Raw genomic sequence first — 21116 nt, 5'->3', positions numbered from 1 at the left:
CAAAGGGATCATTTGAGGAAGAAGGCAAAAAAACAAATGGTGTTATTAAAATAAATGGACTTCAGAGAATTGGGAAAAAAGCATTCATTTTATATGATAAACAACAGAACTCGTTTTAAGTTACAAAAGACTAATGGTACATTTTTCAAAAATATGTAGTCTGGAAAATGAAGAAAAATATACACATAGGAAAAATCACTTAGAATTTAATTTTGTACTTACTTAGAAAGCTTTCTTAGACTTCATTAGACACATTTTTATTATATTGCCCATACATAAAAATGAAAATACAAGCAAATTACATTGGTAAAGGTATTTCTAAAATTTCATCACTTTTGAACTATTACTTCCGACTCAGAGATTGTCTGGGTTTTTCCACAGAATTTATCCTTTGCAGCACTGAAAGCACTGGCAACAAGCATTTCCTTACAGAATCCATAAAAGAACTAAAGCTGTGGTGCTAGGTACCTAGCTGTCTTTGGGAATGTTGTACAACACATCTTATTCATCAATTCTCTCACCATTATAGTTTGGATTTTTTTCCAATCTGGTGTTTTTGATGTCTTATAGTAAGCACAGGAAATGGATGGCATTGGTTGACAAGCTTGGAGGACCACTATCCATCCACTGTTAAATGGACCCAGATTTCAGAGATGTTAAAATACGAAACATAGTAAAACAGAGTAGCTTGCTACTTTGTTTTCCTTTGTCTTTAAATATTTTTTGGTTGGGCAGAGTGGTTCACGCCTGTAATCCCAACACTTTGGGAGGCTAAGGTGAAAGGAGAGCCTGAACCCAGGAGTTTGAGACCAGCCTGGGCAACATGGTGAAACCCTGTCTCTACAAAAAATACAAAAATTTGCCAGGCATGGTGGTGGGCATCTGTAGTTACAGCTATTAGGGACAGTGAGGTGGAAGGATTGCTTGAGCCTGGGAGGTTGAGGCTGCAACAAGCCGTGGGTGTGCCAATGCATTACAGCCTGGGTGAGAGAGTGAGACCCTATCTCAAAACAAAAAAAAAATTAATATACATATTTTTACAATTTTTTTAGAATAGGGTCTCACTTTGTTGCCCAGGATGGAGTACAGTGGTGTGGTCATGGTTCACTGTAGCTTTAAACTCCTTGGCTCGAGCAATCCTCCCACCTCAGCCTCCCAAGTAGCTGAGACTAGAGGAGTGCACCACCACACAGAGCTATATTTTTATTTTATTTTTATTTTTATTTTTTTTATTCTCTCTGTCGCCCAGGCTGGAGTGCAGTGGTGCGATCTCGGCTCACTGCAAGCTCCGCCTCCTAGGTTCACGCCATCCTCCTGCCTCAGCCTCCCGAGCACGCCCGGCTAACTTATTTTTGTACTTTTAGTAGAGACAGGGTTTCACCATGTTAGCCAGGATGGTCTCGATCTCCTGACCTCGTGATCCACCCGCCTCGGCCTCCCAAAGTGCTGGGATTACAGGCGTGAGCCACCGCGCCTGGTCTATATTTTTACTTTTATTTTTGTAGAGACAGGGTTTCGCTATGTTGTCCAAGCTGGTCTCAAACTCCTGGCCTCAAGTGATTCTCCTACCTCAGCCTACCAGAGTGCTGAGATTACAGGTGTGAGCCACCATGCCAGGCCTGTTTTAAATATTCTTCTAAAATATAATATTAATGGCTGCATAGTATTTCATTATATAGATGTACCACGTTTTCCCTGAATTCTGAGAAAGGGGTTGATTTTGTCCCTCTGGGAACATTACAAAATGTCCAGAGGCATTTTTGATTGTCATAACTGGGGTGCTACTGGCATCTAGTGGGCAGAAGCCAAGGAGGTTCAACATCCTAAAATGTACAGGACAGCCCCTTATAACAAAGAATTAACTGGTAGGTATGAGATTGAGAAACTCTGTAACCTATTGCTAGACATTTTTTCTTTTTTTGTTTTTGAGACAGGGTCTCACCCTGTTGCCCAGGCTGGAATGCAGCAGTGCAATCTTAGCTCACTGCAACCTCTGCCTCCCAGGCTCAAGCAATCTTCCCACCTCAGCTTCCCAAGTGGCTGGAACTACAGGCGTATGCCACCACATGCCTGGCTAATTTTTTTTTTTTTTTGTATTCTTGGTAGAGATGGGGTTTTGCCACATTGTCCAGGCAGGTCTAGAACTTCTGAACTCAGGGCTATCCACCTGCCTTGGCCTCCCCAAGTGCTGGGATTACTGGTGTAAGCTGGGAGCCACCTTGCTGAGCCAATTTTTTTTAACCCCTGCAGGACCAGCACCAAATTAAGGGGGAGCATAGGCTATGCATAGGATATATAGGATATAGCCCGTACAATTGGATTACCTGGGTTCAAATCCTGGCCTTGACAGTTACTAATTTAAGAACACTAACTAGAAGGAAGTACATTGAATTAGCAACTTAACCACTCCATGCCTTATTGCCCCATCTGTAAAATCAAAGAAAATTTACAGAAACTGCATAGGGCTGCTAAGACAACTAAACAGGTTGATAAATTTAAAACCCATGTCTGGCATCTAAGATACACCCATAAGTGTTTCATGAGCTCCGTTAGGTCATGCTTTTTAAAAAATACATTTATTGACCAGCCGCGGTGGCTCACGCCTGTAATCCCAGCACTTTGGGAGGCCAAGGAGGGCAGATCACCTGAGGTCAGGAGTTCGAGACCAGCCTGACCAACATGGAGAAACCCCGTCTCTACTAAAAATACAAAATTAGCCAGGTGTGGTGGTGCATGCCTGTAATCCCAGCTACTCGGGAGGCTGAGGCAGGAAAATCACTTGAACCCGGGAGGCAGAGGTTGCAGTGAGCTGAGATTGCGCCATTGCACTCCAGCCTCCGCAACGAGAGTGAAACTCCCATCTCAAAAAAAAAAAAAAAGAAGCATTTATTTATAAACACTACTGAGGCACTGACAGAAATAGGAAGGCACTGACAGAAAAATCAGGAACAAAGAATCTCAAGGTTTGGGGCCTAAGTCATTGAATCTAATATCTCTGAAACCATTGGATGATAGTAAAATCGATGTAATGTGTAAGACTAGCAAGAGGAAAAAAAAACAATAGAAGGTATCAGAGTATATCACAAGCAGCAAGTACTTTTTCCTGTGTATGTATACCAGGTCACAATGTGAAACTGTATTTCTTAATGTGGATCACAGTAAAAGTTAGAAAGTCACCACCTGAAGTCCAACTACCACTTGACATTTGAATCAGTTCTGTATCTGTGTCTACATGACTGATTAACTTCTGCCTTAAGGCATTTTATAAACAGTGCCAGCTCTATTTTTGGACACTTTGCTAGGCAGCTCTTCAAAATAATGAAAGACAAGAACCTAATAAAACATGATGCAAAAAGATATCTCTTTCAATCTGAAAAATGACTACAAATGTTTTGTCTTAATCTATTGGTTTAAATCTTTCAGGAAATTAAGCATTCTAGAAGTGTTTTCTTGACTATGTTGCTGCAGCATTGGAAACAGTGTTGCTTATGAGCTCATCAAGTCATCACTAGCTTTGAAGATGGTCATTCCTAAGTTAGCCATCATCATTATTAGTATGTTTGAGTACCCACAAACCAGCTGAGAAGGGCAGCTTTCAGGTCTATAAGCAGTACTGAAAACATTAACTTAATCATCATAGTGCCAGCAGCCTCTAAATAGTACATAATCATATACACCAAATTAGTTATGGTTTTAAAAACAAAGTCCAAAACGTACATCTTTTTAACCCTTTTAAAAATGAACAATAATTGTGCCTCATACTTTGAATAAAGCCAAATTATGTGAATTGTGGTTGCTGGTTGTTTGAACATTGCCTAAAAGAAAATTAGGGTAATGACACTAAGTTGTTTGAGAAATATTTAATACATGTGCTGAATGCCTCAGGCAGAGTTGACAAAATTAAGATGTTTACCATGATCTTCCCAATAAACTGAATGTACTTTGGTAAAGAATTAATATCATATAAATTTGTTACTGCAATTATATTTATTTTTTTTTTCTTTTTTTGAGACGGAGTTTCGCTCTTGTTGCCCAGGCTGGAATGCAATGGTGCGATCTCGGCTCACTGCGACCTCCGCCTCCTGGGTTCAAGTGATTCTCCTGTCTCAGCCTACTGAGTATCTGGGATTACAGGCATGCGCCACTGGCTAATGTTGTATTTTTAGTAGAGACGGGGTTTCTCCATGTTGGTCAGGCTGGTCTCGAACTCCTGACCTCAGGTGATCCACCCGCCTCAGCCTCCCAAAGTGTTGGGATTACAGGCATGAGGCGTGAGCCACTGCACCCAGCCTGCAATTATTATTATTCTTCTTTTTTGAGATGGAGTCTCATTCTGTCTCCCAGGCTGGAGTGCAGTGGCATGATCTTGGCTCATGGCAACCTCCGTCCCCAGGTTCAATTGATTCTCCCACATTAGTCTCCTGAGTATCTGGGACTACAGTTGGGCGCCACCATGCCTGGCTAATTTTTGTATTTTTACTAGAGACAGGGTTTCACCATGTTGTCCAGGCTGGTCTCAAATTCCTGAGCTCAAGCAATCTGCCCACCTCAGCTGGTATTACAGGCGTGAGCCACTGCACCCTGCCTTTGTTACTGCAATTGTTTTGAATGGTCCCCTTTACAAGCCTATGAGATATTTGATGGCAGGAATTTTCCACAGTAACTTTCTAGTCAACCATCAATATAAATATAAAAATTTGCAGAATGTATTACATACAGCAAATCTTGTATTAATTGCTGACTGCCAAGCTCTCCATAAAGTTCCAGGAATTTAAAAATTAATAATGCATAGTTCTTAATCTTAAGAGTTTCACAGACTAAGAGGGGAGAGAAAAATTTACAGTTGTGAGATACAGAGCAAAGCTTAATAGAAGAGTGGAAACTCTAGAAGTTAGAAGCTGCTAACATCCAAGCTGTGTTTTAAGGGATGACTTTAAAGGTGAACAAGTGGGGAAGAACATTCCTGGATGAGGAAACTCATATAGAGCACATATAAAGGGGAGAAAAGTGCTGGGAGATACACTGGAGAGATGGGTTGATACCTTATCATGGAGAGACTTTCATGCTAGGTTAAGAAGTTTACCCATGCCCAGGGCCGGGCACAGTGGCTCATGCCTGTAATCCCAGCACTTTGGGAGGCCAAGACGGGCGGATCACGAGGTCAGGAGATCGAGACCATCCTGCCTAACATGGTGAAACCCCGTCTCTACAAAAAATACAAAAAATTAGCCGGGCGTGGTGGTAGGCGCCTGTAGTCCCAGCTACTTGGGAGGCTGAGGCAGGTGAATGGTGTGAACCCAGGCGGTGGAGCTTGCAGTGAGCCAAGATCGCGCCACTGAACTCCAGCCTGGGTGACAGAGAGAGACTCCATCTCAAAAAAAAAAAAGTTTAAATTGTATCTAGTATACAAAACAAAACCAATGAAAGTTGTTAGGCAGGGAAGAGATTTGATTAGACTGGTCTTGGATGGAGTAAATAATGGAGATGGATAGGAGGTCAATTCAGGTATAAATTGAGGGCCTGAACAAGTTGTGGGGTACTGTCAAATGTTTGTTGAGTGCATACCATTATATACCAGGTACAGTACATCTTTTAAAAAGGAGCTTATAGTCAGCATGTTAGATGACACTGAAAGATACAATGTGAGAATCTAAAGAAATTACAAGCATGTGGCCAGGTGCTGTGGCTCACTCCTGTAATCCCAGCACTGTGGGGGAGGCTGAAGCGGGTGGATCACTTGAGATCAGGAGTTCGAGACCAGCCTGGCCAACACGGTGAAACCCCATCTAATAAAAGTATGAAAAGTAGCCGGGAGTGGTGGCAAGTGCCTGTAATCCCAGTTACTAGGGAGGCTGAGACAAGAGAATCGTTTGAACCTGGGAGGTAGAGGCTGCGGTGAGCAGAGATGGTGTCACTGCACTCCAGCTTGGGCAACAGAGTGAGACTCTGTCTCAAAACAAACAAACAAACAAACAAACAAACAAACAAGCATGGTAGGGAATGACTCCCAGAGTAGGTGATATTGAAGTTGAGAACTGAAGGAAAAATAGGATTTTAAAGATCTGAACTGATTTGAAGTACTTAGGGTATTTATTGTACATCCTATATAATCCCTCCATACTCCTAAAGAAAACTGTTTTCTTTTGCCCTCACTGTAAATCTACTGAAGCATCTAAAATAGTTATTAAATTTAAAAAAACAATAATGTGATGAGGCCAGAATTAGGTTTCTCTCTTCTGTTCTCTCCCACGGCACATTACCTTTGCATCATTCGCACACTATTATAATTATCTGAAAATTTGGAAGAGGTCCAAAGAATGGACAGATATTTAGGAGCGCCAGGAAGGAAACAGCACAAAAGGGAAGGAGGAGTATAAAAGTTAAATAATTTAAAATGGCGAATGCTTTAGAAAGTTCAAGTAAAATCTTAGTACTGTAATTTACTGTAATTTGGAGGTCCTTGTTAATGATCTGTTTGCAAGTTAAGTAAGAAATGCACAGTAGGCCAAAAATGAGATTGGACTGAGGACTTCCTATCAGAAAGCTTGGTTGAGAAGTGATGCTACAGAATTTTGTTTGTTCTTTTTTTTGTTTTATTAAGGAAGGGAGAATAGAGGGTGTCCAATAGGCAACAAAAGTAACTTTTCAAGACCTACTACCATGGATACATGTATTAGTAACTTATAAACAGTATTTCCTCTAGATATTTGCATATATATAATAGAATTAATGTTAGTACATTTTCACTTATCCCTAGGAAAGAATTACTGATGTTTGTTAAGAGTCTGTTAAGAATATACAAACTCTTAACATTTACACTGGAGGTGTATAAGGTATGAACCAGTCGTTTCTGGTAATTTATTGCAACCTGTGATTAAGAGAGAAGGTTAGGACTGAATTAATTCATTTTCCAAAGAAAAAAGTCAGACAACATTTATAATTTACCAGATTATCACTGGCATAGTTCAGAAATTTTTTTTTATTTTTCAGACAGGGCAACAATCTGTTGTCCAGGCTAGGAGTGCAGTGGTGCCATGATGGTTCACTGCAGCCTCGACCTCCTGGGCTCAACTGATTCTCCCACCTCAGCCTTCTGAGTAACTGGGACCACAGGTGTGCATCACCACGCCCAGCTAATTTTTGTATTTTTTGTAGAGAAGGGGTTTCACTACGTTGCCCAGGCTGGTCTCCAACTCCTGGGCTCAAGCAATCCTCCTGCCTCGGCCTCCCATAAGTGCTGGGATTCCAGGTGTGAGCCACTGCACCGAGCTCCAGCAAGATTTTTACATTCTAAATTGGGTTATATTTGTAATAATGAATGTCACTAATAAGAGGAAGTGCAAGTACCAATACGTTCTTTACAGGCCTCATACTGCAGTTTTTCTTTTCTTTCTTTTTCTTTTCATTCTTGGTCATACTGCCATTTTTCTTAGCCAATTTTCTGGCCAAACTCCTCCTCACCACTTATTTTCTGTGTGCTGATGACTATGCTTTACTACTAAATTTGGCTCTTTTGTCTTGCCAGTTCACACCTTCCCTTAAGGCATAATAACCATTTACTACTTAATTTTCGCTTTTCTCCTCTATCTTGCTGGGGTGGTGTAATAAAATTCCAGCTTAACCAATAAGTAAAATGGCTTGCCAGTGATGATAAAGACCACATTTGTTTGGGATATGTAGCAGCACAAATTTAAAAGTAAATAAATAAAACAAGCCCATCTCAATCCTAACTTACAGATACTGGTCAGTGTGACTGAAAACTGAAATTGTTCATGCTAACCAACGTTTTTCAGTTTCCACCTAACATTTTGTTCAGTTTGGTGCCCTCTTGTGCCTCCTATTTTTACAAACACAACTCAGAATTCCTGATGACTTTAGAGAAGGCACCTCCAAGTTTTCACTCATACCAGATATTCCTGGATATAACAGGAATTTGAGAACTATTATGTAATTATTCTACGTGTAACATCTGCTCATCAGATTTTAATATTCAAGCCTCGTGGCTTCAAGTCATTGCCTGTGACTGATCATCTTCACAAATGCAAGAGTCCCCTGAAACTGTCTCCCAACCATTAGGGTGCTCATGCTAACCCCTAACCCACTAGACCCACTACAAGATTCAGTATTTGTAAAGCTGAAAACGTGGTTGTGGCGTTTACATTTTCATTCCGATTGGCCTAGGCTTCCCTCTCTTCTCTCTTGCATGTTTTCTTGCCTTACCTGGTCTGAGAAATGGTGCCGCCCCACCCTTGCAGAGTTAACAGGGGGACGCTTGCCAGCTGCGTGCAGTCCCGGCGGTCCGGATATGCGGGGAGGTGGCGGCAGGAACGCCTGGGCCAGGCGCTGGTACGTTATCCTGTTACAGACCTTGGCCTAGTCCGCAGGTTGCCCCTGGAGAGGCGACGGGGACACCAGACCCTCGATTGGCTCCGCTCCTCCGCGACAGGCTGAGGGGAACAAGCTCTCTTTCGCCTGGGGACGATCCAGTGTTTGGTGGGTCGACCTTAGTCAGGGCCTAGCTGTCGCAAAGAAGGTCAAATTCACCTTGGGAAAGTACGCACCGGGACGGCAGCTAGCACCATAACAGGCGGCCCCAGCGGAGTCTCCCAGGGTCAGGCCAGGACAGCCAACCTGCCGGCCGGAGAGCCGGAGGCGGGGCCGCCCCCTTCCCGGCAGGCTGCCGACTTCCGGACCTGCGTAGACGCCTCTCTGCGCCTCCAGGCGCGCCCCTCCCCCGGCAGGCCGTTTCCCGGCATGCGCCGCGGAGGAAGAGACGGAGTCGACAATAACAAACCAAGCCGCGGCGGTGTCCGCGGCCCTGCCGAGCCCTCGGCGTTGCCTCAGAATCCCCCAGTCGCCTGGGCCCCTCGGCTCTGACAGGCCGCGGCCTTCTGTCCCCCGGCCCCAGACCCAGAGCCGAGGGGCCTGCTCGCGTCCTTGTCCGCCCGGACCCCTCCCTGCCTCCTAGAGTTCGGGGCCGCGGCGGGCGGGCGCCCGGGACGCCGGCGGTTGTGTCGGCTTAGCGGTGCCGAATGGGCGGTTGGTAACCGCTGCCGAGGACTAGGCGGCGGCGGAAGATGGTGCCGGGGGTCGCTGGCTCTGCTGCTGCCGCCGGCGAAGGAGGAGGCGTTGCCGGGTAAGTGTCGCCGCCGCCCGCGTCCCCTTCCCCCATCTGGCACAGCGGTCGCGCGGCGGGCCCTGGCACGGTGGGCCGGGGTCGCATGGTCCAGGGTTCCGGTCGGCCTGAGCCCGGCCCACGCGCAGGTGTGTGCACGGGAGGGCCCCGGCGCCTCCCGCCCCGGCAGGTGTTGCCCACTGGCCGCTTTCCCGGCGCGACAGCCCCTGTGGAGACAAAAGCGGTTCGAGTCGATGCTCCACTAGGCTGCCGGAGGTGTGGGTCGGACTCGTGCTGCGGGGCTGCCTGCGGCTTCCTCGGCCGGAGCCTTGGGATCCCTCCCTCTGCGCTGCCGCTTAGTACCCGGCCTAGTTGCCGGAGTGGCCGAGGGCGAGGGACGTCCGAACCTCCCAAGACGCATCTTGACTTGTGCTCATCGCTGCCAGGGATCAGCCCTTAATTCTGTGTTGGACTCGAGAAACGGGAGAGTGGAGTTTGGCCGAGGCCGAACGAAGCTCACCGAATGGGAGGAACGGAGAGATGATGTCTTTGTCCCGACCCCAGAGTGCGAGGATCGGTATAAAGTTACTCCTAGGAATGACTCAGCCTGCGCCCGCCCCACGGATAGATTTGGGATGGGTGTGCACGCGGATTTCACAGCTTCCTTGGTAGAAACAAAAATACATTAACCAACAGTAGAAATAGCAGCTTCTGAATGGAATATCTCTATAGTTTCTTCCACCGCCTGGTGGATGTGCTGTGTTTACTGTTTATGGTTTCGTAATCTAGTCGTTTCCATCATGACTCTTTAAAGTGTGGTCATACCTTGAAGTAGTGTAGACTTGGCTGCCAAGGAAGACTCATGTGCTCACTGTTGATAAAGAGTCACGTTACTACGAGACATTCAGCCAGATGGGAATGTTCTCAAGTCTGCTGCAAACATTTAAAGTGTACCTATTTGCTAACTATTTTATTGTGTAGTTTCTTAAGTTTTTGTGTTTTGGTGAAGCTTGTATGATTTATACATAAGTTTGGACAGTTAGCAATTTAGGAAGAGACTTAAGTAGACTTAATTGTGTGTTTAATCAAGAATGTTATTACATTGTGATAGACGATAAAAAGAGGGTCCTTCCACTTCTGATCAGATAAAACTGTGAGAAACCAAGGAACTACTGAGGGAGGTGGCTGATTTTAGTTTTTGGATTATTGGATTTATAAGCAGACCATTGCTAGGAATGTGAAAATATGTTCGCTTTTTATATTTGTTGTAACAGAATATGGCCCTAATGAAGATATTTTCTCAATAACATTCCTGTCATGTCTTTTAATGTTTGTGATTGTGTTCAAAACCTGGATAAAGTTTTATGTCAGGGATGCTTTAGGCACATAATGCTTACGTTGAGAAACCTCTGTTGATGGAAAGTGGATATTGACATAGTTCATATTTTTAAAGTAATTTTATTTAGTCTATTTTGAACTTTTTATGGTAATCAAGATATGATTATTTATGTACCTAATCCTTTATATGTTTGTTATTGGACGACAGGGAAGACAATGAAGCGGTACTTTTGTCCCTGAGTTTTTTTTTTTTTTTTTTTTGGCTCTTGCTGCCAAACACAAGATCAGGATGCATGGCAGATTTACTTTAGCAAATCAAGTTCATAAAGGCAGAAGACACAAGACTTTTGTTTTCGAAATTTTGAACCTAAATTTTGATTATGTTAGCCTGAGAAAAGTTTTTAGACTCTAATATTAACTTAAAATTTTATATCATACATTCAGCAGATATTTGAGCACCTACATGCTTTACTTTGCAGATGTGTATGTCTTATGAATATCTTTTTAAAAGAATGGCTGATAAAATTTTCTCATTCAGGTAATGATATTTTCTGACTCCAGTTACACTTTTCTTTTGTAGTAATACTGGCCTAAGACACTTTGAAAATCTAGCAGTCCCTTTCAACACACTTTCACGATTCTTTTATTATCTTTTTACCACTGTGAGGTTTTTGAACTAGTTACATGAGGAACATAAAAATGTTTAAGTAATTGTTCTTGAGTAGAGACGGGGTTTTACCATGTTGGCCAGGCTGGTCTTGAACTCCTGACCTCAGGTGATCTGCCTGCCTCGGACTCCCAAAGCCCGGCCACTGATTGCCTTTTGAATAAAGGCCCAAGAGAAGTAAGGGGTGTAAGTGTGTGACTCTCGAAAGGAATTTTTGGCAGAAGAAACAGTAAATGGAAAGGCTCTGATATACATGGCATATACCAAGAAAAATGAAGTTACTGAAGCTGGACTGGTATGAGAGAGGCGATAGTAATGGTAGATTGTGGGGCTCTACATATTCAGGTTTGGAAGTCATAGTAAGGAAACTAATGTGCTCTAACTCACAAAGGTCTACAGATGAATTCAAGTAAACCCAGCATGGCTGGAAAGCAGTTGAAGCCAAATTCACTTCATTTATTCCTGAAATGCTAATTGAACCCCTGCAGCATACTCTTTTAGCTTCAGCAATGCAACAGTGAACAAGAAAGACATATCTGTCTATGTATATATATTTATTTATAGGAAATGGGTAACCACTGGAAATTTTCATGGAGGTAAATGACAAACGCAGATTACTTTGAGGATGTAGAGTAGATAAAAGGCTAGCTAAGCCGATTGTATAGTGCTAGGTTGATGAGTTTTTGCTTAACTCACATAGATAAAAGGATGTGAAGATTACTTGTCTCTGATTATTTATTATGGACCAAATCAACTTAATTTGACTGTAAACTGTACCCCCATTGTTTAGGGTCCTGAGAGGATGGCATTTCTTTCTATCCCTTTGTAAAGTTCCGGTTCTGTTGGATTACTTTTTGTAAGTGCAGTACTTGAATGCCTCCAAGTACCCTCTTTCCTTGGCTAATTTGTTTCTGCTTTCATGGCTGTTTAGTGAGTGCTTTGAGGATTGTGGAATAACAATCCTCGCCCATTTTTTTTCATCCATGATTTTTTTCTACCCGTTAGTTTGCTCTTTTGAACTCTCATATTTTATTGGCTTGTAATTGTGCTAGGAGATAAAAATAATTGTGTTCCATTTCCTTTTTTTGTCACTGATTTGAGACTGTCCACTCATTTTTCCTTCACATTCCACACATTATACTTGTTCAGTAACTGTCCAGCATACCTGTTGAAATATTAATTCAATACCATATTATATTACAGTAATATAACGGCTTTTAGTAATTGTTTTACTGCAAATACCAGATTTGGGCAGGCTGGTTTAATAATTTGGTTATATGTTTATAGATAATCTTGGTTTAATAGAATGCAGCTAATTCTACATTTTCTTTTTTTTCCCCATTTTCCCTGTCTTATATAATTCTATATTTGCTATATAGATAATTTTGGTTTTACTGTTAGTTTCCGTTATAAAATAAAACACAACTAGAAAATTTTCACTAAAATCATGCATTTTATGTAGTTTTTATAAACGATAGGGACACCAAAATGTGTAATGCATTTATATGTACTGATACAGAAAGATTTCTGTTATTTTATGCAGTTCAAGCAAAGTCCATAGTAGTATGTAGGGTGTCACCTCATTTTTATAAAACCATATTGCCTGAATATACACATATTTCCTGTACACCTAGGGAAAAAAACCTGAAGGGTGTACTCCAAAGTATTTTTCATTTTTGTTTTAAAAGTATTCCTGTTCTGCTATTTTTACCTCATTTGCTGTCTTTGGGCACTACCTTTCTAAATGCTCGCTTCATTCTTTTGGCGAAGTTGCTTGTCTAGTTTGTAGACAAGGCGTATATTTAGGAAGTCTGAACTTTTATGAAAAAGGTTTTCTTTCAGGGAAATGTGAGGAAAATGCCTGACCTACTCATCTTTCATTCTTTTTCTTGGCAGAGAAGGGGTAGGATCAGATTAGAATACATCTGATTTGGGGAGACTGATGCCCAGTTTTCAGTCCCTGGGCAACCTAGACACTCCGTTTGTGGTGGACATTATCTCCATTGATGCAGTAGCCCGTGACCCCTCAATGAGGGAGAATTGCTAATAATTGCAGTTTACAGAATTAGAGATCAGGCAAAATTATTTCCAATCATCTTTTCTCTGAAGCTTTTAGTCCACTTTAGGGTTATCTGAGTCTCATGTGTTCTATTCAGCTGGAAAGCATCTTGAAGATATTTGTATTCCAGGCACCTAGCAGTGTCTGGCTTATGTTTAGATGCCCCCAAAATAGTGGATGAATAATGAATGTGTCCAGTTTTGAAGGTCAGAGATTGTCATTGGGGTGTCCCCCTTTCACCTTATCATATAAGGAAGCGAATTCTGTTTTGTTTGTTTGTTTTTGTTTTTTAAGGCAGAGTCTTACTTTGTCGCCCAGGCAGGCGACAGGCAATGGTGTGATCTAGGCTCACTACAACCACTGCCTCGTGGGCTCAGATGATCCTCCCACTTCAGCCTCCCAGTAGGTGGGATTACAGGCATGCACTACCACTGCCAACTAATTCTTGTATTCTTAGTAGAGACGGGGTTTCACCATGTTTCCCAGGCTGGTCTTGAACTCCTGGCCTGAAGTGAGCCACCCACCTCGGCCTCCCAAAGTGCTGGGATTACAGGCAGGAGCCACTGTGTCTGGCCTAATTCTAAGTTTTGACTGTATTAGAATAGTTGACAGTAAGGCTGGGATAATTGACTTTATCATCATGATAATCTCTCGAGAAAATTGTAAATCTCCACTTGATAAGTTGGATAGATTTTAATGAGTATGTGAGATACTTTCTGGTTCTTTTCCTCAAATATGGATATATATGGGTTCAGTTGTTATTCCTGTACATCTGGAAACAAATGCAGTGGGATCAATATATTTTTATTTTTATTTATTTTTTTGAGATGGAGTTTCACTCTTGTTGCCCAGGCTGGAGTGCAATGGCATGATCTCAGCTGACCGCAACCTCTGACTCCCGGGTTCAAGCGAGTCTCCTGCCTCAGCCTCCTGAGTAGCTGGGATTACAGGCATGTGCTACCACACTCAGATAATTTTGTGTTTTTAGTAGAAATGGGGTTTATCCATGTTGGTCAGGCTGGTCTCAAACTCGCGACCTCAGGTGATCTGTCCGCCTCTGCCTCCCAAAGTGCTGGGTGGCATATAAAGTGGACTAAAAGCTTCAGAGAGAAAAGATGATTAGAAATAATTTTGCCTGATCCCTAGTTCTGTAAACTGCAGTTATTAGCAATTCTCCCTCATTGAGGGGTCACGGGCTACTACCGCATCAATGGAGATAATGTCCACCACCCTGTCGGATCAATATTTTTTAAAATACAGCTCTCTTCTCCCCTTCATTTATAGCTGACTGTATCCTAGGAGGATTTAGGAGGACCAGATGTCCTCATAATGAGAGATAGGTTTTTCCCCCCAGATAAGAGAATTCCTGCTACCTTATATTAACTACTTAAGAGTTCTGTAAATTCAGAGAAAGGAGAAAGAATACTATAGGCCACCTGTGATAAGGGAAGACTTCCCAGAAGTGGTAATAGGACAATACTTGGACTTTTGTTTGTTTGTTTGTTTGTTTGTTTTTGAGACGAGTCTCGCTCTGTTGCCCAGGCTGGAGTGCAGTGGTGTGATCTCAACTTACTGCAAGCTCCGCCTCCTGGGTTCACGCCATTCTCCCACCTCAGCCTCCCAAGCAGCTGGGACTACAGGCATCCGCCACCATGCCCGGCTAATTTTTTTGTATTTTTAGCAGAGACGGGGTTTCACTGTGTTAGCCAGGATGGTCTCGATCTCCTTACCTTGTGATCCACCCGCCTCAGCCTCCCAAAGTGCTGGGATTACAGGCGTGAGCCAGTGTGCCCGGCAATACTTTGACTTTTAAAGATGAGTAAAATTCAGATCAGCAAAGATGGGGGTATTTTACCTGGCAGGAGTATGTAAAGTGAGGGTATAGGTTTGTCATGTAAGGGAGTAGTTGATGATACTGCTACAAAAATAAACTGGGGTTAATTATGAAGTTCTTGAGTGCTGGAGTTTAATTAAAGTCATAATTGCCACCATTTTTAAAGCTTTTAGTATATTCCTAGCACCGTAAAGGACTCTGAAGTACATTATTGCTATCCTTCTCATCTCTGTGAAAGGTATCGTTGCAATTTATAGATTGTCAACTGATATGTGGAGGTTACCTGAGCCTCAGTGAGATAGATGGTATTCAAATACAAGTAAATTTTGTTCCTAAGTCTGCCATTTTTATGTTAATCTAGCCTATATCAAGTTGGCAAATTCACATGCTAAGAGGGGTGGGCAGATAGTACAATTAAGTGAAACTGTCTGAGTACTGAACCGGAGGTGACAAAGAGAGTGTAGCTGTAAAGAAACTACAGATTTGTGCCCTGCTGTAGGCAACAGTAAGGTGCTAGGGAAGATACTTGAGGGAAGCAGCCTGACTACCTTGGTTGTAACTGGTAGGGAGTATTTAGGAAGGATTGAAGCCGGATAGAGATTTAAAGACAGAGAGAAGAGGTTGCAGTTTCCTAAGTAAGGGTTATGTCATTGGAAAATGAGGGGTTGGATTAGAAAGGAAAAAAATGGGTAGGACTTGGACAGAAATAACTGAAGCCTGGTCCATTGTCACTTTGGAAAGTTTGTAAAAAAAAAAAAAAAAAAAGAAAGAAAGAAAAAGAAAAGAAAAATAACTGAAGTTTGGGGCAATAGTAGAATGATAGTTCATTGACAGTGAATAAATTAGGGAATAGATTTAAAGGAAAAGCACCGAATTTAAATTTGGACATGTTGAGTTTGAGGTAACAGTAGGATTTCCAGCTGGAAATATGAAGCATCAGTTACTGCTAGCTCTAAACTCAGAACAGAGATCTGGATTAGTTAATAACAGTAATTGATGTTTGTATTTCACTTTATGGTTTACATAACTTCCATATATGTATAGATTATTCGTTAGATCCTGACCACAACCCTGTGAGACAGGTACTTTTACTTTTTGTAATCAAATGAAAAAACTTGTTAGGTGAAGTCAGTTCAGGTCACATTGGGCCAGGACTTGAATATACTTCTTTTGATTCCAAATCTCATGTTCTTTTCACAGTTCTGTTCTCCCTCTTATGTTTACATAAAGATAACAATTGGGGCGTGGTGACTCATGCCTGTATTCCCAGAACTTTGGGAGGCTGAGGCAGACAGATCACTTGGGGTCAGGAGTTTGAGACCAGCCTGGCCAGCATGGCGAAACCCTGTCTCTACTAAAAATACAAAAAAAATTAGCTGGGTGTGGTGGTGGGTGCCTATAATCCCAGCTACTCTGGAGGCTGAGGAGAGAGAATCTCTCTCTCTCTTTTTTTTTTTTTTTTGAAACAGAGGGAGTCTCGTTCTGTAGCCCAGGCTAGAGTGCAGTGGCGAGATCTCGGCTTACTGCAAGCTCCGCCTCCTGGGTTCACGCCATTCTCCTGCCTCAGCCTCCCGAGTAGCTGGGACTACAGGTGCCTGCCACCACGCCCGGCTAATTTTTTGTATTTTTAGTAGAGACGGGGTTTCACTGTGTTAGCCAGGATGGTCTCAATCTCCTGACCTCATGATCCGCCTGCCTCGGCCTCCCAAAGGAGAATCTCTTGAACCTGGGAGGCGGAGGCTACAACGAGCTGAAGGCTGCAGTGAGCGGAGATCGCACCACTGCACCCAGCCCCTAGGTGACTGAGTGAAAGTCCATCTCAAAAAAAAAAAAAAAGATAACAGTTGGAAGACTAAACATGAATGACCATTTAGGGAAGGCTATATTTAGAATGGGAGTGGGGCAGAACTCCCCTAGGACCTCAGATTGGGACTGAAATAGGGAAGGCTGGTGGGAATCTTTGTCTTGCTCTCTTGGTGGGACTAACTCTTTTGGTGCAACAAATTCAGGTTCTTTATTTCTTTGTAATGTATAGGGTGTCATCTTTTTTTTTTAATGGATATGTGTTTTTCCCCTCTAATTATAAATGTGATTTTTAAAAGAACTGGGAGAAAGTAAAAGTCTGGCATCCAGAGATAGCCAGTGTTAAAAAGATTGCTATTAAATTGATCCAGACTTTTTAAGTGCTTGCATATACATATGTCCTCCTGCATTAGTTGTAAAAATAAAATCCACAAACAGAATCACATAATATATACTGTAAATTGCTTTTTGTACTGATCAATACGTATAGATCAAAACATTTTTAAATGTCTAAAATTTGATACCTTATAGGGTTGTGTAATAATTTATTATTTTTTTGGAGAGAGGATCTTGCTGGGTCACCCAGCCTGGAGTGTAGTGATGCCATCATAGCTCACTGTAGCCTCCAGCTCCCAGGCTCAAGCAAGCCATATCCTCCTGCCTCAACCTTCTGAGTAGCTAGGACTATAGGCATAATTTATTTAACCAACCTCCATTGATAGTTTTTAAATTCATCATTTTAAAAAGTGATGGTATAATGAAAATCATTGCATATATATACCTTTGTACACTTGTTTCATTCTTTGCTCCCAGAAGTAGAATTGCTGGTTTGTACATTTTAAATTTTGATACATAGTGCCAGATTAAATTCCCTTAAAAGTTATACCAGTTTATATTTTTGTCAGAAATGTGCCAGTGGACCCACTGTTAATCTTGTCAACACTTAGCACTCATTTTAATCATTAGTAGTAATCTGAAGGGTAAAAAGTAGTACCTTGTTGATGTTTTAGTTCTCATTAGTGAATATGTACCTCCAGATAGTTTATTTTTCTTCATGCTATGGATAGCCATTTGTCATAATACCATTGCATGAAAAGTTGATCCTTTCTCCCCAATTTGAAATCCCACCATTATTGTATAGATACACAAGTGCAGGTATGCATGTATAAAGATCAATTTGGATCTGTTCAGTTTCATGCATTATGTTTATTAATGCATCATGATTCCTACTAACTTGTTAACTACCGTGTGAGTTATGAGTATGTTTGACATGTTTTGACAGTTGTTCTGTCCTACGAAGTCTCAGTATATATGGTAGGCAGTTTATAGTAATTCTTAGTGGGTAGAAACTAAAGACTGTTTAAGCAGAGGGTCAAATAATTTAAGAAAATCTTGTGTCAGTTGTTGAGTTACTAACCTGTTACTTTTAATTTAGAATTGGCTTGTGTTAACTTGTATAGTATTAAATATGGTTTCATTTTATAAAAGTTAAGAAGGACTTTATATAAAATGAGCATCAAGTCAGATTTTAGGAAATCGTGACTATTTGGTGAAAAGTAATACTTATGTACTAGGCTTATTTATATAAGGCTTATAAAGTTACTTTATAATTCCTTGAATAGCAGTTGATTTCTGTGCTTGTACCTTACTTAACAATTACATGCAATAACTTTAGTTCTAGATCATAGAGAGTCAACCCACTTACAGGATTTAATGGACTTTACGTAAATTAGGGGTACATGTACATAATAAGCATTCCCAAAGTTGCAAGTTAATAAAAGAATTAGCTCCTTTTAATGATTGTTTTCTTAAAAGAAATCATTGGTTTATTAAGTTTATCCTCTTAAGTTTTAGTAATGTGATCAGTGAGGGTAAACTGTCAGTTTCTAGTTGGAACTTGATTTTACATATACTTTTGTGTTTTTTTTTTTTTTTTTTTAATGTCACCTTTGTGTGAATTCTTGTCCATTCTTTCTCAGTCTAACTTTTGCATACCTCTCTTCATATTAGTATTATTGAACTTTTTGGAAGGCAGGTAATGTGCTTTTTATTACTTTTTGGCACTAACACACAATAAGTTTCTTAAAATTAGTATTTGTTCAGTGTGTTAGACTCATGTTTAATGTATGATTTGACTATTTATAGAAGATCAGAAGAATAATCTAGTGTACCCCTTTATGTTTTAAGATGACGAAACTGAGATTCAGAGAAATTGGATAACTCCTGAAATCACAGGAGTAAAGATGTGAAGCTAGGACTAAAAACCAGATCTCTTATTTCTTTCCAAGTATTTTTTATTTCAGGGTGACCAAATATGTACTTGGTTACTGATGTCCCTTTTTGCTGAATGTTTTTTAACAATTGTGGCATACAAAGGAGAGAATTCAGTTTCATGGGATCATGTTATTTTGATAGCATATAGGAGTATGTAACATAAAGTATACAGTCTTGTGAATAAATAGCGACAGTGTTCCTGTGGATTCTCTCTGAGCAACTTTCTGATTTCAGTTTTGGTTGCCGTAGTCCTTATCCATGGTTTTGACCGCAAACATTTATTGACTGTTTACTGTCTCTAGGTAGTATGTTAGGTATTGAGGTATGATATGTCATGACCAAAATTTTTTTTAGCCATTTGCAATACAGCTTGGGCGATGTAAGTTATTTGGCAAGTGGCAAAAAAGTGTAGCAGGGCATTTATTTATGTTCTGAATACCAACACTTACTTGAATAGTTGGAATTTGAAGTATGGGCTGTCAGTACTTCAGGAACAAGACCACTGACAGCCAGTACATTGAGGAAGACTTTACGACAGAATATTTGTGAATTCTTGGTTACATAATGGAAGCTGTGGAATGACATGAGTAGAGGCATGAAAATCCATTTATTCATGCACCTCATTTCAGGAGATCAGCCTAAATGGTATGGAGCTTCATGTAGGGACCCAAATAAAGGAAATAGTGGAGTGTCAGTCTAAGGAATTTATACTTGAGTAGAAGTTATGAAGCATTTTTAGTTTGGGGAGAAGTAAACATTAAAAGAATCTAAGATTATGTAGTTGGTGGTGTCATCTGAGATGGAATCTGCAGATAGTAGGTGCTCAGATAGGTAATTGTTAGAGCCCGATATGCAGTAGGAAGATCTGAATTAGATAGCTTAATGGGAATAAGGTGGAAGAGAGGATACACATACTTAGTAACTGTTTATGTGGAACCAAGGAGTACTTATTCATATATGATGTTAAAATATATTAAACCAAGTTGATTACTTTTTTTTTTTTAATATAAGATACTGGGAACACATTGGCTGATAAAGAAACTGCTGAAAATTAGCTACCTGCATGTGATCTCTCTCTGTTACTAAGTTACTATTTGGATTCTGCTTTGTCATTTGCTTAGAGTACTGCTACTAGAACCCCAAGAGTACATTTGCTTATGAAACCCTGTTTATTCAACAGATGCTTTTGAGTGCTTTGTGTTATGTCACAGAGTTACTTCCTGTCCCTAGAGAACATTTTGGGAATATTTACTGTGATTTCTTTTTTTTTTCTGCAACAGCCATATGAGGTAGGTATGATAAATATCCCCATTTACAGATTAGAGAATGGAAATTTAGACAGACATGTATTGATGAAGAAAGTTGTTTTCTTGTTTTATCTACATTTTTTTCTTCTTCTTTTCTTTTTTTTTGAGTCTCACTCTGCCAACCAGCTGGAATGCAGTGGCATGCTCTCGGCTCACTGCAACCTCCACCTGCCGGGTGCGAGTGATCCTCCTGCCTCAGCCTCCTGAGTAGCTGGGATTACAGGCGAGAGCCAGCATGCCCAGCTAACTTTTGTATTTTCAGTAGAGATGGGGTTTCACCATGTTGGCCAGGCAGTCTCGAACTCCTGACCTCAAGTGATCCACCTGCCTCGGCCTCCCAAAGTGCTGGAATTACAGGCATGAACCACTGTGCCTGGCCTGTTTTATCTACATTTCTTTCCCTGATAATAAAGCCATGCAGCTCATGGATCTTCTGGAGAAGATTCATTCAGTAGAATTTTATAACTTTGACTTAGATTACACAAAATTGGTCTATGTAGGTCATATGATACTTCTTTTAATAAGAGAACTTAAAACATTAGCATGAATAGGTATATTTTATTCATCCTGGTACCCATACAGAGTATTTAACTAATTTTATAAACCATACATTTCAATTAAAATCTGACCAGCTTTATTACATGACCACATAAAGATTAATAATCCAGGGTTGAAATAACAGCTAAAGATAGAAATAGATAGTTTTGGCTGTGCAAGGT

The 21116-nt window shown here is 41.1% G+C and overlaps 1 protein-coding gene across 16 annotated transcripts in view, besides 6 other annotated features; it reads left to right on the top strand.

Moving 5' to 3' along the window:
- Nucleotides 8212-8261: an enhancer, noted in NCBI's record as "active region_27348". NCBI's record gives its function as "activates an Ori minimal core promoter by ATAC-STARR-seq in GM12878 lymphoblastoid cells {active_cell/tissue: GM12878}" and the evidence as "EXISTENCE:reporter gene assay evidence [ECO:0000049][PMID:35858748]".
- Nucleotides 8282-8591: an enhancer, noted in NCBI's record as "active region_27347". NCBI's record gives its function as "activates an Ori minimal core promoter by ATAC-STARR-seq in GM12878 lymphoblastoid cells {active_cell/tissue: GM12878}" and the evidence as "EXISTENCE:reporter gene assay evidence [ECO:0000049][PMID:35858748]".
- Nucleotides 8652-8821: a silencer, noted in NCBI's record as "silent region_19191". NCBI's record gives its function as "represses an Ori minimal core promoter by ATAC-STARR-seq in GM12878 lymphoblastoid cells {active_cell/tissue: GM12878}" and the evidence as "EXISTENCE:reporter gene assay evidence [ECO:0000049][PMID:35858748]".
- Nucleotides 8776-21116, top strand: part of RB1CC1 (RB1 inducible coiled-coil 1) — a 91978-nt gene continuing 79637 nt past the window's right edge. For all 16 annotated transcript variants that reach the window (XR_928826.4, XM_017014109.2, XM_011517645.3 and 13 more), the window contains exon 1: nucleotides 8776-9136. The gene's annotated coding sequence lies outside the window, so the exon portion shown is untranslated. The remainder of the gene's footprint in view (nucleotides 9137-21116) is intronic.
- Nucleotides 8852-9321: a silencer, noted in NCBI's record as "silent region_19190". NCBI's record gives its function as "represses an Ori minimal core promoter by ATAC-STARR-seq in GM12878 lymphoblastoid cells {active_cell/tissue: GM12878}" and the evidence as "EXISTENCE:reporter gene assay evidence [ECO:0000049][PMID:35858748]".
- Nucleotides 15351-15510: a silencer, noted in NCBI's record as "silent region_19189". NCBI's record gives its function as "represses an Ori minimal core promoter by ATAC-STARR-seq in GM12878 lymphoblastoid cells {active_cell/tissue: GM12878}" and the evidence as "EXISTENCE:reporter gene assay evidence [ECO:0000049][PMID:35858748]".
- Nucleotides 15521-15570: a silencer, noted in NCBI's record as "silent region_19188". NCBI's record gives its function as "represses an Ori minimal core promoter by ATAC-STARR-seq in GM12878 lymphoblastoid cells {active_cell/tissue: GM12878}" and the evidence as "EXISTENCE:reporter gene assay evidence [ECO:0000049][PMID:35858748]".

Source organism: Homo sapiens, chromosome 8 (assembly GCF_000001405.40).
Source record: "Homo sapiens chromosome 8, GRCh38.p14 Primary Assembly".
Lineage (NCBI taxonomy): Eukaryota > Metazoa > Chordata > Mammalia > Primates > Hominidae > Homo > Homo sapiens.
This window is presented reverse-complemented; position numbering and strand designations above follow the sequence as displayed.